This window comes from Homo sapiens, chromosome 10, assembly GCF_000001405.40.
Source record: "Homo sapiens chromosome 10, GRCh38.p14 Primary Assembly".
In the NCBI taxonomy this organism is placed as follows: domain Eukaryota; kingdom Metazoa; phylum Chordata; class Mammalia; order Primates; family Hominidae; genus Homo; species Homo sapiens.
This window is the reverse complement of record NC_000010.11, coordinates 109,949,522-109,971,600: the sequence shown is the minus strand read 5'-3', so window position 1 is coordinate 109,971,600 and position 22,079 is coordinate 109,949,522. Positions and strand designations below refer to the sequence as shown.

Below are 22,079 nucleotides of genomic sequence, written 5' to 3'. Positions count from 1 at the left end.
TGTATTTGACTATTTCACTAACCATGCAAAAAAGACTTACCATGCCAATCAATAGATCAACAAATTGCAAAAAATTGCTTAAGAGAATAAATGATTTTCAAGACCTCTCAAGTGGTCTTGAAAGGTACATTTAGGGTTTTTTGTTTTTTTGTTTTTTAATCCCAGCCCTTTGGGAGGCTGAGGCAGGAGGTTTCCTTGAGGCTAGGAGTTCAAGACCAACCTGGGCAACAACACAAGAACTCATGCTGGGATTATAGGAATGAGCCACCATATTTGCCCCCACATTTAGGTTTTGAGAACAGAGACACTAGTTGATTGATTAATAATGTTGATTGTTGTGCTAATTAAAAAACATTCTTCTAAATGTAATGTGATATTCCAGATTGCATCCTGGAACAGGAAACTGAAATATGGATAAAAATAAAATACCGAGTTTAGTCAGTAGTAATGTACCAAAGTTGTCTTCTGAGTTTTGGCAAATGTACCATGGTAATATTAAGATGCTAACATTAAAAAAAAAATCTTGGTGAAAGGTATATGCTAACTCTCTGGGCTAGCTATGCAAATTTTCTGTAGCTGTAAAATTATTCCAAAATTTAAAAGTTTATTAAAAATTCTTACACATTCATAAAGTGTGATTCTCCAAGAACCCCTACCAACAAGAGAAACTATTTAGTGAAAGATACCCTACTTGGCACAATGTCAAGTGCCTTATACATTTGTTCACAACAACATTATGAAGTAGGTATGTATGGTTTTTTTTTTGAGATGGTGTCTCGCTCTTTGCCCAGGCTGGAGTGCAACCTCCGCCTTCCAGGTTCAAGCGATTCTCCTGCCTCAGCCTCCTGAGTAGCTGGGATTACAGGCATGCGCCACCACGCCCGGCTAATTTTTGTATGTTTAGTAGAGATGGGGTTTCACCATGTTGGCCAGGCTGGTCTCAAACTCCTGACCTCAAGTGATTCGCCCGTCTCAGCCTCCCAAAGTGCTGGGATTACAGACGTGAGCCACTGTGCCCGGCCGGTAAGGTTATTATCTTCAATTTGCAGATAAGGAAACTATAGCTCACAGTGATAAAGTGCCCAAAGACACACAGATACTAATTCATCAATGGAGTTAGGATGTGACAAGGTCTGTCTAACCCCAAAGCCTGGGCTCTCAGCAGCTCCACAGCTACACTGTCTTGCCTCTCCTAGCTTGAGTTTCGCTGTAAGAAAGAGTCATCACTTATGCAGATTGGCCCTCATCTTTTATCTGAATTGGTGAAACACGTGAACCCAATTATTTGCACTGTACCTTTAAGTAAACCGGAGCATTATTTTGAAATAACAAAGTTTAATAGAAGGTCAAATCCCTCACATTTCTGCTTTGTTAAACTGGGCCTCAGTTCTCCAGAAGGAGGGGGCAGGGAGAGACATCTCTTCCAAGGAACTTGGAACGCTCTCAGAGCTAAGCAACTGGCCCTTTCCCCTTGGCTTCTGTCTTATTTTGCCCATCATGTGTTGGGATGCTGAGCCTGATGCCCAGGATTCTCCCAGAACTTTCCAGTTGGGCTTTGGCCGTAGATGGCTTACTCAGAAATGGAAAAAGGTAGCATGCTACAGCACAGTGCGTGGTTCAGGGTCAAGACAGCCAGTTCTTTATGCAGAAAGAGAACTGGATCCCTTAACTGAAGAGGTCCTGGAATGCTCTCTATCCCGAAGTATCACTCCTGCTGGTCCAGCAAGGCAACTGTGATCACCTAATTTGTGTTAAATGCAGTACACCATTTGTCACGGGCACACAGTCTGTTCACAGCTCCTCAAAGTTTTGCTCAGATAAACCCTCGGCACATTCCATGTGTCTCTGCAGCCCAGCTGGGGTTTGGCTCAGTTTAACCCATCATTCATTCATTTGTGAAGGGACAAAAATTATTACCCAGCAGGGTTCCCACCCTTTCCACCCTGCTGTTGACAGCCAAAGAGGATTGTGTATTTGTGAATTGTTTCTGCCCTCTGAGGATTCTGTCTTCTAGACCAATGGTTCTTTGGGCTTTCTTGGGATAGAATCAGAGAGGAAGTGGGGAGAGGAGGAAGACGTGAACGAACTAGCGAGAAAGAGTCTTTGGAGAAGATTGGTGGGCGGCTGTTTACGTGAGAGAAGCACAAGAACAGCCGCAGGATATGAGTGGAGTCCTTGAGAAAGAAGTGGGGCTTAAAGAAATATCCCTCTTGCCAGTATAATCCCTTCACCGTGTTCAGAAAATGCAGATAAAGGAACAGAAAGATCTTTTTGCTTGCCAGACAGTATTTCTTTGACTAAGAACGCCTGCCTGCTCTGAGACTGGAGCACACAGTGCAGAGCTTCAACAAGGATGCACGTGTTCAGCACCAACCGCCTCCTCTCCTCGCCAGCCGCTGTGCCACCCCTGCTGCCAGCTCTGATCTCTGCCCATAACACTCCCCTGAGCTCTGTGGCTGAATCTTCACTGATTTTCCAACTGCCAAAGTCAATGAGCACTTCCAGTCCTTATCTAATGTCACCTCTCTGCAGCTCTTTTCTGTTGCCAGCTATCTTAGCCGCGCCCCACATACTGATAATCCTTCAAGTTCAAGGTTCCAGGTGCTTTCTATTCATTATTTATTCACTTCTCACAACTTCAGGAAGGAGATTTTATTTCTCACCCCACCTTCAGTTTTGCTAAATGAGGAAAATGGCTCAGAGAAACCAGCAACTTATCTAAATTCTTGGAACTAGAAAATAACAGAACTAGAACTTAAGCTCAAACCCATTTGAGTCCGAAACCCTTTTACTATTATTATTAAATAAATAATTATTATGTATTATATATGATATGATATTATATTACAAAAATATCATTTAAAAATTATTATTATTCTTCATTGGTATTATGTCCCTGGCTTTAGCTTTTAGATTTCATGGACTAGAAAAAAAATGTAAAAACATTTTTGGGGCTCCGGTATGGGGCCGCCAAATATGCGTGTATGTGTGTGATTTTGTGGGGTGTTTATGTGTGTGTGTGTGCAGTCTTTAAGGCATTTTAAGAATACCCAACTATAATATATCATCACCATCATTTAATTTTATAAAATTCCCCAAATGTACTGATATAGAAGTAGCTCCACAATACATTGTTAAGGAAGATGCTACCTGCTTAATTAGAAATGAGTTCTACAGATTTATCTCCTTTAATAAGCATTTTTTGAAGAAAAAGAAATCAGTAGCTGTTTTGGGATGGGAAGGAGGCTTCGCACATAGTCAAGGTAGCAAGTTTTTGAACATTCTAAATTTTGTGCAAGGGGTATCAGGTATTAACCATTCAAAAAATAAACACATAAATTGGAAATAAATCTCTAAAAGAAAAGCTATTTTAGGACCTCAAGAAAGATATGGCTAAAATAATCACAAAATCATTTGAGTGAATTAACTTTATCCTTGTTTTTCCCATTTTGACATGTCTTGGTGGGAAGCTGGTCAGGGTCTGACTGTTGTCTGCAGGCTGACCCCGGGTTAGGCCAGGTTCTCACTATCTGCCCCCTAGGAATGTATGAAGGTGGTGTCCTAAAGCATTCCTGTGCCCATAAACAGAGGCATCTCTTTTTGTGGTCCCTTCTAGGTGCCCAGAACTCTAAACAAGTTTCCCAGTATTAGAGTATAAATAGAAGAGTTGGGCCTGGCTGGAGTCAGTGGCCTGGATTTGAGGAGTTCTCATTCTGATCCAAGTTCTTGAGTTTGGCTGTACTTCAGAATCACCTGGGTAGTTTGTTTAAATAGCATCTTCCTAGAGACTGTGTCAAACTCTGCATTTTGAACAAGTGTCCCACAGACCAGTCTGAGAAACCTGAATAGCTCAGACTGTATATCCTGTTAGACTGAGGATGATGACTAAGTTTTAATACTAATCCTAGAATTTCCTGGAGAAAAAGAGGCCCTCGGATCAGTGACAGTCAAAAGTCAAACAGACCATTTCCCCTCCCCCGCCACACCAGAGGTCAAACAGGATGGGTCTCAGATGGAGTCCGCTGATGCAAACAGGATCTGGAGAGAAATAGCAGTTTTTCCTTTTCACTCTGAACCTCACTCTGACCAGTGCCGGAAACAGTCCTGATTAGAGGATAATTGATTTGGACTCCGCTAGCAGAGCAGCCAGGCACCTTCCCGCACTGAGCAGGCTGTGCGGTATCATCTGACTCTTTACTGCATTAAAAACAATGTGATATGACATATGCTGGTCTCCTAACAACATTTGCAAACGCAGTAAGATTATAGAGTCAATGCCTGTGCCAACTATGCTTTAGAGAAACAGCAGCACATTTCTACCCAGCCCCCAACAACAGCAAACAAACTGGAGGCATTTTAGTTGCATAAATACGAACTGGTCACACAGGATTTGGGGTCTTTTGCTGGCCAGGAAATGATCATGTATTACTTTCAAAGCTGAATCAGTGATTCCAGTTTAAACAAGGATTCTAAACAGTTTGCTTTTTTGCTTTTCTCCATAGCACACATCATAGAGTGACTGTAATTCAAATTTATCAGGGATTGAAAAGACAAACCAAATAAACAAAAAACCCATCATACCAGAAGGCTGAGAGGAAATGAATTGAGTCAGAGAAGAATTCCAGCAGGGACTTTTTGGTCAGTGTGCTAGACTCCTTTCTTTCACGGAGTTGTTTCCTCTTTTTGCCCCAGTCTAAGTCAAGACCCCACTGAACTGCAAATGGGCCCCCAACCAGCAAAGTAATAACTGCTACTCTGAAGCATCTCTTAGATGTACATCATAAACTCTACTCTCTGAATTTACTGTTTCCCAAAATGAGGTAAACACAATCCAGTTATCTGGAGAAGTGAGAATACCAAAGGTGCTATACACATATTATCTGTTACTTTATAGGAAAGCACAGATATTCTGTCATAAAATATTCAGATGTGTAAAACACTTATTTATGCTTTATCTCCAAATGGCTTAATTCTGCTTCTTTTCCATTTCATTGTGTTTTATGTAGACCTAAAATAGGGATCTTTTATACTTTAAAAAAAACCCTAAATATTCTGTTAGATCCTACTTTGGTTCTTTCTATGAGATAAAAATAAATGCACCTTTGACAACTTTTATTTAAACCTTTGTACTATGAAAAATTTTAAGCATCATATATGAAAGTACAGGAAATAGTATAATGCTCTCCAAGCTCAAAATTGTCCATTTTTGGCCAATCCCCAGCCTCCATTCCCAGATTATTTTTAAGAAAATGCACAACATCGCATCACTTCATCTGTAAATGTTCAATAGATAAAGATTCTTTTAAAGGTTGGGCGCGGTGGCTCAAACCTGTAATCCCAGCGCTTTGGGAGGCTGAGGCGGGTGGATCACTTGAGGCCAGGAGTTTCAGATCAGCCTGGCTAACATGGCGAAACCCCTTCTCTACTAGAAATACAAAAAATTAGCTGGGCATGGTGGTGCACGCATGTAATCCTAACCACTTGGGAGGCTGATGCAGAAGAATCTCTTGAACCTGGGAGGGGGAGGTTGCAGTGAGCCGAGATCGTGCCACTGCACTCCAGCCTGGGCAACAGAGCAAGACTCCATCTCAAAAAAAATTATTTAAAAAATATATACACAACACTATTCTTATACTAAAAAAATTAACATTACTTCTTTAATATCAACAAGTGTCCAGTCATCTACTGATTTTTAGGCAGAAACCTTATAGAAAAGCATGTTGATGAAAATCTAACGATTCCTGAATTGCTACAGGAACCGTGTGATCTCTCCCCCACAACCCCCTCCAAGGCAGGGATGCTTAAGAATCAGATGCACAAAAGTTCTTTCAAGGACTTGAGACTGAACTCACGTGTCGAAACCTCCCCGGCTGCGGAGACCGGGTTGGACTCTCCAGCACTGTTGACTTTGGTCTGGATGTTTATCCATTCATTTTTCAGACCTCCAGTCGCTTGTTTATTTTGGCCATCCCTTTCCAGCCTGAGACTTCCCACACCCTGCCATCTGGCACCCTCTATGGTTTCATTCCCACAGCCTCAGCTCCGAGCAGAAGCCTCAGCGGAAACAGATCCAGCAAAAGGTCCCGAGCGCTGGGTCTATGCTTCCGTGCCCAAGTCATCCTGCAGAAGAGAAGGGGCAAAAGGAACTTTTGGAGGGGATCCTCAAGGTTCATTACCAAGAGAGTACAACTCTCTTTATTGCCAATCGATAGATAGTCAATAAATATCTTAGTTCCTTGGTGAATGTTATCTTGCTGTGATAAGCTTGGAAATGAGGTGCAATGACAGATATCAATTGTCAGAACTATCCCTGCTGTTTCCCTTAAAAAAGAATCATGTAGGGCAGGGCGCAGTGGCTCATGCCTGTAATCCCAGCACTTTGGGAGGCTGAGGCAGGTAGATCACGAGGTCAAGAGATTGAGACTATCCTGGACAACATGGTGAAACCCCATCTCTACTAAAAATACAAAAATTAGCCGGGCATGGTGGCGGGTGCCTGTAGTCCCAGCTGCTCCGGAGGCTGAGGCAGGAGAATCACTTGAACCCGGGAGGTGAAGGTTGCAGTGAGCCGGGATCGCACCACTGCACTCCAGCCTGGCGACAGAGTGAGACTCCGTCTCAAAAAAAAAAAAAAAAAAGAATCATGTCACCGAATATTCAACTTGTGTCCCAAGACCTGTCAATTGCTCTAGCCACAAGAGCAAATATTTAAGCTATGAGGACTATAAGTTAATTTAGATTAACAGAGCATTTTGATTGTAAACAAGGTTTTGCATTAATCCCATGCAAACTGAAGCAGCTAGGTAAGTCTACCTACCACATCCTAAAAAGGCCTTCCACTTTCTTGCTGTCCTGGGAATCTTCCCTGACTCGTCACACTTAGCAGTCCTTGAAGGCCTACTAAACACTCAGGCCAAAGAGCTCCACCTCTAAGTTCCATCAGAACGATACCATCTCCACTACCACCACAACAACGTCTACCATTTCCTGAGTACTTACCATGTGCTGGGCACCTTGTCACTCCCTTAACGTATTACCTACTTTTTTTTTTTTAATTTTTGGAGACAGGGTCTCACTCTGTTGCCCAGGCTGGAGTGCAGTGGTGTGATTTCGGCTCACTGCAGCCTCGAACTCCTGGGCTCAAGCGATCCTCCCACATCCATCTCCCAAGTAGCTGGGAATACACGTGCATCCCACCATGCCTGGCTAATTTTTGTATTTTTTTTTCGTTGAGATGGGGTTTCGCCATGTTGCCCAGGCTGGTTCCGAACTCCTGAGCTCAAGGGATCCACCTGCCTCAGCTTCCCAAAGTCCTGGAATTATAGGCATGAACCACCGCACCCAGCTGTGTATTACCTACTTTAATCTTTACCACAGTTCCGGGAGGAAAGCGCTACTAGCATCATTATTTTATAAATGAGGAGAATAAGGAGAGATTAGGTAAACACCCAAGGTGGTAAGGACAGTAAATGACAGTGCTGGGCTATGTGGCTTAGAGTGTCTCCCCTCAATCTTGAAGCTACATTGCCTTAAAAAAAACATATTCGACCTTGCATTGTCAATGACATATTTATGTACATGTTTTTGGACCCTCTCCTTGACATGGTAGACATAAGGTATCTAGCCTAGTGTCTGGCAGTAACTGCTTGGTGCTTGATAAATGTTAGCCATTATTGTTGTTGTTGTTGATACCAGTAATTATTTGTGATGTGGCCCAGGACAGTCTCACCTCCGCAATGCTGTTGCAGATGTAGAAGCATAAGAATGTGGCCTTACTGTTGCCAGATTTGGCAAATAAAAATATGGGATGCAATACTTGAGACGTACTTATACTAATACGTTTTTTGCTGTTTATCTGAAATTCAAAGTTAACTGGGCATCCTGTATTTTATCTGGCAACCATCGTCGAGAATCTTAATAGCAATCAAGGGAGATGAGCACAGCACTATGGAGCAAGAACAGTGTTCCCTGCTAAGCCATATGGTGCTGATTAGCAGTGTTGCAGGATTTCTGAGAAGGGAGGGCACAATGTGAACTGGGCAACCAGAGAAGGCTTCATAGAGGAGGTGGGACTTTCCAATCTAGCCGAGTGGGGGTTTTAAAGGTTTCTGGGCTACAGAAAGTGTTAGTGGAAATAGCAATAGACTAAGTGATTTCTAAAATGTGCTTATTATGGAAATAAATTCACAGAAACAGCTGAAAGAAAGGGATGATACTCCTATAAGTTTGTTTTTGTTTTTTTACATCTGGGTCTTGCTTTGATGTAAGTTGGTTTTGAAAGTACATAAGGCCAGGCGCGGTGGCTCACGCCTGTAATCCCAGCACTTTCGGAATTCAAGGAGGGCGGATCACCTGAAATCAGAAGTTCAAGAGCAGCCTGACCAACATGGTGAAACCTCATCTCTACAAAAAAAAAAAAAAAAAAAAAAATTAGCTGCGCATGGTGGCGCATGCCTGTAATCTCAGCTACTTGGGAGGCTGAGGCAGAAGAATTGATTGAACCTGGGAGGCAGAGGTTGCAGTGAGCTGAGATCGTGCCATTGCACTGCAGCCTGGGCAACAAGAGTGAAAATCCATCTCAAAAAAAAAAAAAGAAAAGAAAAAAAAAAGAAAGTGCATAAGATAATGAGTTGTCCATGACATTAACCTAAATTGGCCCAAGAAACACAATGGCTACAAGGCTGGAGCCTTCGTCATTCCTGGTCTCTTGTTAGGAGAAGTGGAATAAGCACAGATTTAACTTCTGAAGCCCACCAGGCCCCAGGGAGAAGCAGTTGAGGTGTGCTGAGGAATAGGATAAGTCTGAGCTTTGTTGGAGAAAAGAAAATGGGGCATACCTGCTGTCAAGGTGCTGCCCTAATCCTCTCACATGGAGATGTGAAGTCAGAGAGATCTGCACGATGCATTGCATGGATAGAGCAGCCATTCCATGCCTTTATGTGTTAGGCAGTGTAAATACTTGATATAATTTAATCCTCATAGTACTCATACTTTATATTGTTATCCTTATTTTGTACAAGTGGAAACAGAGGCTCAGAGAGCGGTTCATTCACTGCTGGTCATGCAGCTAGCAAGTGGCAGAGCCAGGATTCAAATTTAAGTCTGCCAGATTTCAGATCCTGTTCCTTCTCTCCTCCACCACCCTGACATGAGTCAGTTTTCTGCCAGTCATCTTTAAAGAAACATTCTTCTTGTCCTCCACTTAAGGGACAAGGACTATGTTCTCATCCCCAGTGATAGATTTCTTGTGGTTCAGATGGGTAACCAGATTACTCCTGGTACTCAGGGTTTCCTATCAATAGTGGGGCATGTCAGCAAGCCTTCTTTTTCATCCTCTTGTCCTTAGGAGGGCAAATTCTCCCCTGAGGCATGCCTCCCAAATCCCTAGGCGTCTTTTACTGGAGTGCTAGGTGAGTCCTCAGTACCACCAAAGCCCCCTAAGACACTTCAGTCTCTTAGTGACTTGAGAGACCCCATTTCCCCCCAGGCTCTCTGTGTTTGGTGTCTCCACCAAAGAAAGGAAGGGAATAAAAAACCCTTCCAATTAAAAGAACTTTCCAGGTGCAGGGAACAAAATCCAGGCAGATTACCGCTCAGGGCAGGCTAGCCGCTAGCTTTTGCAAAAGTCTAAAAGGAGCCCACTTATGGCACAGAGCAGAGGGAAAGACACTTCAAACTGTAAAAAGCAAAATGTTGTTAAAGGGCTATGAAAACAATCTATTTAATTTATTGGAACATGTTTTTCTAGCAGCTTTGAGTTGGAGCTGTGATTGCCTCCTGCAGGGATTTGTGACCTCATCCTTCCTCCCCCACCCTCCCCAAATGTAACTATAGGGTTTTCCCGTCATAACCTGACATATGGTTTGCAGCAGGAAGTGCGAAATCCCAGGAATGAGTAGAGACTCAGGTTTCAGACTCTAGAGAGACTCAGGTGAGCTGCAAGGAATGGCCTTTGTTTCATATAAAAACAGAGTTGAAAAGAGCGTGGTTGGTGACCTCCTGGTTTGGAATGAGGTAATTAATTCTCCAGAAACTCCCACCAGTTTCCTGGGCAACAAAATCAATGTGTTGTTGCTAGAAAAACTGGGAATAATAAATTGGTTAAAATTACAGATTTCCTTTAAAAAAAAATACAGACTTCTTCCTTACCAACCCAAATATAAAACAAAACAAAACAATTCCAAAACACACACAGACACACACACTCACACACACACACACACACACACACAATTCCTCTTTACCCTTTCACTCACCCTCACTCTTTAAAAAAAAATTAAGTTTATTGCTATCTAAATATTATCATGCTTGAGAAGATAAGAAAAGAGAAAGGTGGATCAAATCCCACGCAGAATTGTACACAGAACAAGACAGTTTTTGAATATTTTTTAGGCCAAATATTCTCACAGAGTGGGGTGATAGTAGGGTCAGCATATAGTATCAGAATTTCTGGGGGTGTCATAGGGAGGGGACCAGTATGAGGTCTTTGTTTATCAAAAAGCATTGAAGATTTCTTTTTTAAAAGACTGGAAAACTGCTTAGGCTGCCTTAGCTTTTTATCCATTTAAAAACCAAGTAAAGTTTTTGTTTTGTTTTGTTTTTGATGACCAATTTAAGAACTAGGTGAATGGTGAGGTCTCAGAAATCCTACTTACAGCATTTTCTGAACTCCTAGTTGAAATCAAAATCTATTTTTTTCCCCTCCCCTTCTCCCTGGGCAGCTGGGAATCTCTCATTGCATGGCCTGAGAACACAGACTCCACAGTCAAACTGCCCGGGTTTTACCCTGACTCTCTCTCCCTGCCATTTCTCATCAAATTTAAGATACTGTTGCTGTAAGATGAAATATTATTTTAAGCATCACCAAAAAAGAAAAAAAGTGGTTAATTAAATTATGACACAATGCTAACGTGCCATCAGTTGTAGGACACATTCTAATTTCAGTGATGTTAAAATGTGACAAAAATTATTTTAGAATTGATGAACTATGGTGTTTGTTTAGGAAATTTAATCTTTCCCTAACTTGACATCTCTCTATTTCATCTTTTCATTTAAAAAATGGGAATAATAAGGGCTGGGCTCGGTGGCTGACACCTGTAATTCCAGCACTTGGGAGGCTGAGGCAGGCAGATCTCAAGGTCAGGAGATCGAGACCATCCCGGCTAACATAGTGAAATCCCATCTCTACTAAAAATACAAAAAAATTAGCCGGGCGTGGTGGCGGGTGCCTGTAGTCCCAGCTACTTGGGAGGCTGAGGCAGGAGAGTGGTGTGAACCTGGGAGGTGGAGCGTGCAGTGAGCCGAGATTGCGCCACTGCGCTCCAGCCTGGGCGAAAGAGCAAGACTCGGTCTCAAAAAAAAAAAAAAAAAAAAAGGGAATAATAATGTACCTACCTCAGGGTTGTTGTGAGGATTCAAGAGTCGGTTCATGTAAAATGCTCAGAACATTCCTTGGAACATAATAAGTGCTCAATTAGCTATTGTTATTATTCACTATATCCCACTCAAGTCGACAAATACTTGCTCAGTTGAAGTGTGGAGGTTTTCCTGGTTGTCATTCTACTAGGGGAAAAAAACAGCACAGTAACACCCACATATTGCAAACCATGATTTTAGAGAAATAAAAGCAGGCCAAATTGGGAGGATGGTAACAGATCGTTCCTCTCTGCCTTGGTCTCTGGGTGAGTTTTTCAAGTACACCCTGGTTTCCACAGAAAAGCGCCTGACTCCTCTGGTGATTGTTCTGTTATGGGAAGAGTTTTTGCATTCATGATGCTCTTGTGGATTATTTTTGCCAAGTTTTTTGTTGCTCTAAGCACTTCCTGGAGCCACCCCAGCCATAGGAGGATTCTGACCTCAGAGGGATGCCAGGCGGGGTTTGATGCAAACAATCCATGCTGTGCATGGGCCAGATGGTTCCACACAGCAAACACTATTATTTCATTCACAAAAAGTCAAAAACAAGCTGATTTCGCCATTTTAGGCCTAACGAACGGAAAAGTGAACAGCCCTTTCTTGATAGGCAGGCCCATCTTGATGTAACTCAAGTTTTGCAAATAGAAGAACATAGGTGCAAATGAGAATTCCCAAAGTAATTGCTGGCTAGATGTAGATGGCTCCGAAATAAAACCCACAAGGGCAAGGCTCCAACTCCACATATGTTTTCCAGTCTCTTGGAAACTTTTGCATTTTGTTGTTGTCCTTAGCCTTCTGCTATCCCTAACTTCCTCCCAAGGTTATTGAAGAAATAGATATTTGGATGACTAGAATGTGATCTAGCTGGCACAAATTTAAAGACACATGGCTGTTTTTGTACCCAACCAAGTTTGATCAAAGAAGAAACCGCGTGGGAGTTGGCACACTGGGGCTTAGGATATCTAGATCCAGAGTTTGAAAAAGCACAGGACGGGGTTTAGGAGGCCTACGTCCTTGCCATCTTTTGGGTGATCCAGGTATCACTTTCCACCATACTCTCTTCATCTATACTCTATAGATAAGGAATCTAAGGACCAGTTCTTAGATTCCTTACCTATAGAGTATCTTCTAGCCCTACATCTCTATGAGTAAGGAATTTCGTAAACACTTTGGTCTGTTGGCATCTTTAAACACCCCACGATGGTTAATTTTGTGTGTCAACTGACTAGGCTATGGTCTCAGTTGTTTGGTCAGACACTAGTCTAGATGTTGCTGTGAAGGTATTTTGTAGATGTGGTTAACATTCATAATCAGTTGACTGTAAGTAAAGTAAAGTGGATGACCCTCCGTAATGCAGGCGAGCCTCATCCAATCCAGTTGAAGGCTTTCAGAGTAACAACTGAGGGTTCCTGCGGAAGAAGAAATTCTGCCTCTAGGCTGCAACATAGAAATCTTGCCTGTGTTGAAATTCTGTTGGCCTGCTCTAAAATTTTAGGCAGAAGCCTGCAACATGATTCTCATTTGAAGTTCCAGTTTGCTAGCATGCTGTATGGATTTCAGACTTGCCAGCCTCCACAATTGCATGAGCCAATTAAAAAAAAATAAATCTCTCTTTTTCTCTAGCTACAGCCATTTGCCCTGGCTCACCTTGCCCTTGACCTCCCTACCTGACCTCAGTTCTGGCTTATTTTTCTGTGTTTGCCTCACCCCTCAGCTCTATATTTCTAGCTTCAACCTTGTGCTTTTCACCTAGATGACCATTATTTAAACTTTCTTTTTGGCCTTGGCTACCATTTATTTCCCTGAATAAAACTTCCTCTGATCTTCTTCCAACTCCGAGACTTCATAGATTGACCCAGAGGGACCTGGACAGGTATGACTGAGCTCAGCTTTGTACAGGCATGACTGTTTACATGCTCACAGCCTCCAGGGCTTCTGCCTTTCGGTGCTTCCATGGCTTACAGCATTCTTGTCCTACATACCTCTGCTCAGAAACCACCTCCTTTATACAGTGTTCTCATACTTTTACAAAGGGTTAAAAAACAGCAGGACTCATTTCCACCTCCTGGGTGTTGAATGTCTTATTCATGTCACAGGAGGCATGTGGTTACAAGAGGACATGTTTGTTAATTAAATGGGAGTGTGTATAATCACCCTTATTCACAAGGGTGATTTTTAAAAATATGGGTGTGTGTGTGTGTGTGTGAGGTTTCTTCACAGCAAATGTTTGCAAAGCTCTTGGAGATCCATGGAAAGAGATTGCTTGGCCAACCCCAAGAATTATTAGAAATACAGGCTTTGCTGTTGTTGGCTCTACTCTAGAAGACTCTTATCATATAACAAGTGCTTGCGTTTATAAGGGGCACTGTACAGGAAGTCTAGGGTGTATTATGACTTCAATGCATTGCCCGTCTGTCAATGTCTAAAGAGTCCTATATATGGTCTCAGTCTGCAGTGTGTTTAAGACATTTAGACATTTTCCTCTCCCTTGTACTCTAGTGGAATCAGGCTGAGCTTGTGTTATATAACACCACCGTCCTGCTCTGTAATGAGCAACTTCTAAAGAGGAGGCAGCAGGGGAACAAAGCCACCTGGCCTTTGCCAACCTTTCCAGGCTCTGCCAGTGCACCTGCAGAGAGCTCCGAGAGCTCGGCCTGGAAGAGAGACTGGCTATTATGTTTCATTGCGTGAGATGACACAGTGCCTTTCCAGGACAGGTTGGACTGAAAAAATCTCTGCCTTTATTTCTTGGCCAAATTTTATCCAGGGTCTCCCAAGACTTAGGGAATCATTAAGCAGCTGCTTCATTGAACCCCTGCCTTTCACTCTCACCTCAACTGCTTTGAGAAATTTGATCGACTCAGACAGAAACATGAAATATTCATAAGAAGCTTTCGGTGAGCAGTGTCTCAAGAGCTTGCAGGGCTAAACTGGGGAAATGTCACATGTTGGTTTTACACCTCAGTAGCACTTGTGCATGGTCCGTGTCCGACCCATTGGTGTACTAAATCAGACTGAAGTTTCATCACTATGCTTTGAGTATAAGACAAATATCACTCCCTCTCATGTTGCCTGCTATTGCTAAAGTAGGAGAGGTTATCAATTAGGGCCCTTTCTGTTGGGACAGGAAACCCAATTCAAATTGGTTTAAGTGAAGAATGAACTGTATTGAATCAACAAAAAAGCCCAAGGCTAGCTGGCTTCAGGAGTGGGGCTTCAAGGCTCAAATGAGGTCATCAGGGCTTGGTCTCTCTCCATCTCTAGGCTCTGCCTTCTCTTTGATTGGCTTCATTTTAAGCCTCCATGTTGTGGGCCCCAGTAGTTCCAAACTCCCCCTTGTGGTGGCAAGATGGCAACAACAGTTCCAGCCTCCATAGCATAAAGCAAGGGTCAACACATTTTTTCCGTCAAGGTGCCAGAGAAAAAAGATTTTAGGATTTGTGGACTGTGTGGTTTCTGTTGCAGCTACTCAGCTCTGCTATTATAGTGTGAAAACAGCCATAGATAATACATAAATGAATGAGCATGGCTGTGTTTCAATAAAACTTTATTTACAAAAACAGACACTGGGCTGGATTCAGCCAGCCAGCTATAGCTTGCCTACCCCTGTTAACTACATAGAGTTGTTGTTGGAAAATGGCTGTTCAGCGGGGGATGTACCTTCTGGCTTCTCTTGTAATTGGATATGGCCATATGACTGAGTTCTTGCTAAAAGAACCTAGGTGGAAGTTATGTGGACCCTTTCTAGGTCAAAACTTGTAATAAACAGGTATGCCCCTTCACATTCTTTACCTTCTGCAGCTGAATGCAGATGATGAAGAAGTTTTAGGAGTGGCAGAGCCACAGGGTAAGGCAGTCTGATTCCTGAATCACTGTGTGAAGTGGACCCACTTAATGACCAGGAACAACTGCCTCAGACTGTTACGTGGGAAGGAAATAAATTTCTATTGTGTTTGAGTCATTATACATTTTTGATTTATTTTCAACAGCAGTTTACTTACCTTAAGTAGTAAAGAAGTCAGTGTCAGAAAGAGTGCTAATGTATGAAATAATCATAATATGTAGCACTCAGTAGTTGTGCCATGGGAAGCAAGAAAACAGAATAGGCTGAAGAAATGGTGACCTGTGTTATGCCGTGGCAAAATAGTTCTTAAAACTATTTGGAAGGCCAAGCAAATATCTGCTGTCCCTGTAACTCTAGGGAAAGCCATTATAAAGAGATAGAACATTGTTGTGTGTTACAGTTGAGTTATTTGCTGCTTATTGCACTTTATTACTAGAAAAATACATTCCCTGGCAATAATTGGCCAGTTTATAAGCAGAAACAAAAGAGAATAAACAATCCCCAAATTTGGAAAAACCTATTGATTCTGGACACCCAACTGGAAATAGACTGAATCAGAAAACAAAAAAACAAAGACCAAAAAAAAAAAACCAAAACCAAAAACACAAACCCAATTGCCCTCCTCTAAAAAAAGAAAAAAACTTTGAAAGGAGAAAAGCCCATTAAGAAATCTCAGTTAAATATAGCAACTCGACTCTGCAGCAAAGGGCTCCTTTCCACCCAGACCTATTGTTCAGATGGTCTCAAGGTGGCTGCCATTAAATTGAGAGAAATCTTTGGAGACAAGGAAGAAAATAATTTGGGCTTCAGAACTAGGTCTAGGAAAGAACTCTGGGTGTGGTTATTGGCACTTGGAATTTACTGGAAACAAATAAACGAGAAACTTTCTATTTTTGAGGGAATTGTATTACAAAAAAAAATCACAAGCTTGGATGAAATAATCTTTGATTGGTTAAGCCTTACCCTTCCGTCCTAAATTTGTATGAGCAGAAAGTGAGCTGTGTTAAATAAAATTTACAGGAGGCTGTTGGCTTGAACTGAGCTCCTGCACTGGGCCCAACAGACTAAATCAAAATGGAGTCACTCATGCTTAAGTTCCACATCACCAAACTGAAATTAAGTTGTTTATGTGACCTTCCAAAAAACCAGGAGAGAGAAAGGGATAACAGTTAAATCCCCAAGCAGGCCAGTTTTAGCAGACGTAAGAAAGTCCCCTCTGCACCAGCCTGGGCAACAAAGTGAGACCCTGTCTCTACAAAAAATAAAAAATTAGCCAGGCACGGTGATGTACATTTGTAGTCCCAGCTACTTGGGAGGCTGAGGCGGGTGGATCGCTTGTGCCCAGGAGTTTGAGGTTGCAGTGAGCTGTGATTGCACCAAAGCACTCCAGCTTGGGCAATGGAGCAAAACCCTGTCTCAAAAAAAAAGAAGAAAAGAAAAGAAAAAGAAAAACAAAGCCCCCTTTGCTTTAATCTTTACCCTTTACCAGAAATGTAACTTTGAGACAACCAATCCACATTTTGTTTCCTGTGTCTGCTTTCCTCAGCTCTTTTCTGTCTGTAAAACCAGCCTCCTCTGCTTGGCTCATCAGAACACTCACTCTATTTTATGGGATGAAGTGTTGCCCGATTCTAGAATTGCAAATAAAGCCAATTAAGACTTTTGCATTAAATTTATTTTAATTCTGTATTTTGACAGCTGTATAAAGGGGGTACAGTCTTCAAGGAGGACACTCCAGAAGTGGCTAAAAAAAATAATGGACATGGAAGGATACCCAACAGGGTAGAGTAAGGGGCCCTAAACAAAAATAGACAAAAAATTCTTCCCAGAGAGCAGATTAAGGACTAGGTAAGGAATTTATCTCCCCTGCCAGGCAGAGGGTCTTTACACTGTTGGCCCAGCAGAATTCCATCATGCTATTAAGTAAGTACTGTGTTCTTCTCATTTTTCTTTTTTTTCTGAATGGGAGTCTTTTTGCAGATATCAGGTCTTGGGTCCACCACAGTATAGTGGACATGTGTTAGAGGGACAGGTAACTGGTCTTTGAGTTCATCAATTGCTGGACCAGGAGGAACCGCATATAGACCTGATTAAGAAGACATTGTGTCCTCAAGCATCCTGGACTTTGAGGTGGATGTAGTGGCTGAATGGGACTTTGGGTTTTCTTTCCTGAGGAGGGCATGGGTGTAGTCTCCATGAGGGAAGAAGGATGCAAATGGACAGTTGGCATACAGGAGGGTGGACTGTGATAGACTGATAGCTGTTTACTAAAAATCCATTTCCTTTTCATCCTGAACACAGCTAGACCACACGTTCCTGGCTGTACAAGCAGTTAGGTGTGGCTACATGATTGAGTTCTAGCCAACAGAATGTGAGTGGAAGTGATGTGGGTTGTTTCCAGGCCAAGAAGCCAGTGTGTCCTCTCCTGGCTCTCATTCCCTTCCTGCTAGTTGAATACAGATAATCATGAGGCCCAAGACCCTAAGGAACAGTGCAGCCAGGAGTCGGAAGGAGCCTGGGTTTCTGAATCATCACATGGAGGGGAGCTGTCTTCAGCTGGGAGAGCTGTCTTCAGTTGGATACTGGGTGAGTGAAAAATAAACTCCTATTGTTTTTGAGCAATTATAAGATTTTGTATGCTCGTTACCACAGCTTAGTTTATTTAATTAATATAAGAAGCAACATGATCTCTTTTTCTCTGTGTGTGCTAAACATGTTCTCTCTCTGTAGGCTGGCTTTCGTTTCAATTCTGCATGTAACTCAGTTGTTAGCTGGAGCTTCCCTTTCCCATAAGGTCTAGGTGAAATTGGAATGATCACCTTATCATATGGGTATCTAAAGCTTTCCCAAGATATTTCTGAATTCCCAATGGAGCTTCTGTTTTCTGTTTTTAAAGATTCCTTTCCCTTTTGAAGTCTTCAGCTCAAATGGTCTCTCTCTGTCTCTCTCTCTCTCTCTTTTTTTTTTCCTTCTTCTTTTTTTAGAGATAGAGTCTTTCTTTACTGCCTGGGCTGGAGTGCAGTGGCACAATCACAGCTCACTGCAGCCTGGAACTCCTGGGCTCAAGCAATCCTCCTGTCTTGGCCTCTGAAAATGCTGGGATTACAGGTGTGAGCCACCGTACCTGGCTGGTCTCTGTTCTGTTCCACCCTTTTTCCTTTTTTTTTTTTTCCTTTGAGTTACACATGCATACATATGTACTTCACACTCACACAAATTATTTATGAGAGTAAGAGATTGTAGTGAGAAATTGGTGAGGAATAAGTAGAGGAAGGGCTTACACTCACAGGGGTGCAAACCTCAAATGAAACAGACGTGTCACCACCCTGAAGTCACCTACCACTGGTGAGTATCCCTGGCCCTTCACTTCACCTGGCCCCAACTTGTCTCCTTAGTTTTCATTCTTCTCTCTCCCTCTATTTGTCATTTTCCCCTTTACTTGTACCAAGAGCCATCAAAAGCCCTTGGATATTCTGGGAAGACTAACAAGTTGGTACATTGGGAAATCTAACAATTGGATGCTTTTTCAAATTGCTACTTGGAGGAGAGGCAGAATCCTGCCTGGGGTACAAAGCAAAGTAGAAGGACCACACTCAGCCTCTGTCATCCTGAGCAATTCAGCTCTGGCCCCAATATGCACAACTTACTAAAATAGAAGAAATGCATAGAATAAAATAGAATAAATGGATTTTGCTCAACCCACCCTTTTTAGAGTTTTGTTTGTTTGTTTGTTTGTTTTAAACAACTATCTGTCTTTATGCAATCATGTCCCTGGGGACTCACCCCAACCCCATATGGCTTATCAAAGTGTTCATTAAAAATGTACCCTTCTCTTTCTGAGTTTTGTTAGCCTAAATTTTCCAATTTTCTTTGCATTTTTGGTGACATTTAAATTATCCTAATGAGGTTTCACTACTGCTTATAGATTGGCATTCCAGGCAGGTCTACCAGCTTCCTCCTAATATAGGATTGCTCAACTCTTTCTCTACATTTTAGGAGAAAAACTGAGAAGATTTCTTCTTTATTTCCAGTGGAATGTCTTTTGTCCTTCTCTGATGTCTTGGCATCAACTTATGTTTGTTATTGAAGGATTTCCTGAGCAGCTTATCATGGTACTTTCATATACAAAGATAATTCTTTCCCTAAAATAAATTTAGGTTCTAGCTGGTAATATCATAAAAGCTTTTTTTTTTTTTTAACCTTGTTTCATATGTACTTGATAGAATGCAGTCATTTTAGCCCTGGAACTAAATTAACTTTCAACTCCAGCGGGGTTGTCATGTACAGTTGTATAGGTTGTACACTAAGCCACCCTAGGGAGCACCTTTTACCTATAGTCTATGTCACTGGTAATTTCTTTTTTTTCTTTTTTTGAGATGGAGTCTCACTCTGTCACCCAGGCTGGAGTGCAGTGGTGCAGTTTCGGCTCACTGCAACCTCCGCCTCCCAGGTTCAAGCCATTCTCCTGCCTCAGCCTCCCGAGTAGCTGGGATTACAGGTATGTGCCACCACGCCCGGCTAATTTTATTTTGTATTTTTTTTTTTTTAGTAGAGGTGGGATTTCACCATATTGGCCAGGCTGTTCTCGAACTCCTGACCTTGTGATCCACCCACCTTGACCTCCCAAAGTGCTGGGATTACAGGTGTGAGCCACTGCACCTGGCTGTCACTGGTAATTTCTATAGTTGTGTAGTCCACAACCTGTACAACCATATGTTGTATAGTCCTGTCTCAAGGACCACCCACCATCCAACTAACTATTAATCTCAATGGCCAAATTCCAAATTTCTGGAGGAAAACATTTGGTGGTCCATTTTGGGCCAGTTGTCCTCTCTTCTCCAATCAGATATGCTCAGATTGGAAACATCATGTTGTAGGCACATATGTCCAGAGCCTCAATGCCTTTGGAGAGCCCATCTGGGGGAAATGGGAAACTGTTCTCAGAGAAGGGGTTGTATGAGAAAGGCAGACATTTCAAAACACGGCATTACCAAGGGCCAGTGATTAAAAAAATGAATAGTCCAAAGGTATATCGAATATAATCTAAGCTGATGTTTTTCAAACTATGAGGTATGACCCATTAATGGGCTATGAAATCAATGTAGTGAGTCATATTTCTAAATAACATAGAAATGAAATAAAAGAGATTAGAGATTAGGAAATATTAGCATGCAACCTACCTAGTAAAGGTAAACTAGTATATAAAGTGTGGATTGTGGTGCAACATGATCAAAAACCAAACCAAAGCCCAAACCATTTCACTCCTATCTGCCTGCCCACAGATTTGATGCAGGTGCCCTAGGGACATTTATCTGAGAGGATCTTTCTAGGCCTTGTCTCCCTCACTACTCCTGTGATCTTGCCTTATTTTCCTTGCTGAAACTTTGTTTTGAATCTGATTCCTGCTCCCCATTCATTCAGGTCTCAGACTTTCTTTCTCTCAGCTCCATGTCCAGGCCCAACTCTGGGAAGTTCAGCCTGGTTTGACTCCCCAGCGTCCCAGGAAGTGAAAGTTGAAAAAATTATAGCACTGTGAGTTGCCAAGCCCAGCCTTCCTTTGCCTCACTTGCTAGGAAATCGAACCCTTCCTTGGTTCCTGAGCCCACCCTTATCTTGGCAGATGGTTGGTTGGAGTCTCCAGCCTGCAGAAGTAGGACCTCAATTTAGTTGTGCTCATCTGAGCCCAGTATCCCAATGGCATGGCTTATGTCCCAGAGGCTTGCTTGCTTCCTGAACTACAGCCTATGGCTACCTTTGCCTAATTGAAACAATTGAACTTTTGCTTACATTTTCTGCTCTGTATTCTCTGTGCTATGGTTTTGTAAGCCAAGTTGTCCTGGAGATTGGACAATGTCGTTAACATCTCCCTCTTCCCATTGATAGGCACAGGTTATGTCCCTTGTCTGGATGAACCCATGAGCAGAATCCTGCTGCCTGCCTGTCTTCCAGAACCCCCTCCCACATGTTGCCCATGGAGATCACCTACAAGCTTGCTGGGGACAACAGTTTTGTGCATCAGGCATGTACATGGGACCACCCTCCTCCTACTTCTCACACCCATGGATTCCTTCTCTGGATCTATGGGTTTATTGTCTGTGGCTTCCTATACCTGCTTCCTGTCTCTTGATTTTGATGACTAGTTTGGATGTCCTTCTCTGCATCCATGGCCTTGGTTCTCCTACCTCCTTTCTTTTTTGAACTGGCCAAGCCTTCGAGGGATATCTACAAGTTCTTCTAATAATTCCCCTTATATAGGGTTGCTGGATTTAGCAAATAAGAATACAGGACACCTTGTTAAATTTACATTTCAGCTTAGCAACAAATTTACATTTCAGCTTAGCAATAAATAATATTTGCATGTCCCATGCCATCTATGGGACATACTTCTATTAGGAAATTATTCACTGTTTATCTGAAATTCAGATTTAACTGTGTATCCTGTTTTTTATCTGGCAACCCTACACCTACAGTTCCTTGCTGAGGAAATGGCCTTAAGCTCTTTATGCACAGGTAGGTGGTCATGCTGTGTCCCATAGGACCCCACCCCTACCCCATCCCCAACGTCATAGCTAATTGGATCAGGAGTGAGCACTTGACCCAAGGTCAGCTAGTGCATAGGTTGGCCCATAGTCTAAAAAGTAGCCTGGTGCAAGACCTTTGCACTAGAGGGAAATAGTGTTTAAGTGAACCAAATCAGAGGTTCTCCCTCAGTAGTCAGAGAGTAAGAGAATAATCAGTAAGAGAGAGTGAGAGAATCAGTTGGTAGGAAGAAAAAAGCCAAAAGATACATAGAGAGAAAAAAACAGTAAATACAATTCAT

General features: G+C 42.3%; 1 long non-coding RNA gene across 1 annotated transcript in view, besides 2 other annotated features; it reads left to right on the top strand.

Moving 5' to 3' along the window:
• ADD3-AS1 (ADD3 antisense RNA 1) overlaps positions 1–22,079 on the top strand; it is a 62,823-nt gene that overhangs the window by 36,781 nt on the left and 3,963 nt on the right. The window contains exon 3 of the long non-coding RNA NR_038943.1: positions 17,710–17,845. This is a non-coding gene — a long non-coding RNA (ADD3 antisense RNA 1). The remainder of the gene's footprint in view (positions 1–17,709; positions 17,846–22,079) is intronic.
• Positions 14,572–14,701: an enhancer, noted in NCBI's record as "active region_3999". NCBI's record gives its function as "activates an Ori minimal core promoter by ATAC-STARR-seq in GM12878 lymphoblastoid cells {active_cell/tissue: GM12878}" and the evidence as "EXISTENCE:reporter gene assay evidence [ECO:0000049][PMID:35858748]".
• Positions 14,952–15,001: an enhancer, noted in NCBI's record as "active region_3998". NCBI's record gives its function as "activates an Ori minimal core promoter by ATAC-STARR-seq in GM12878 lymphoblastoid cells {active_cell/tissue: GM12878}" and the evidence as "EXISTENCE:reporter gene assay evidence [ECO:0000049][PMID:35858748]".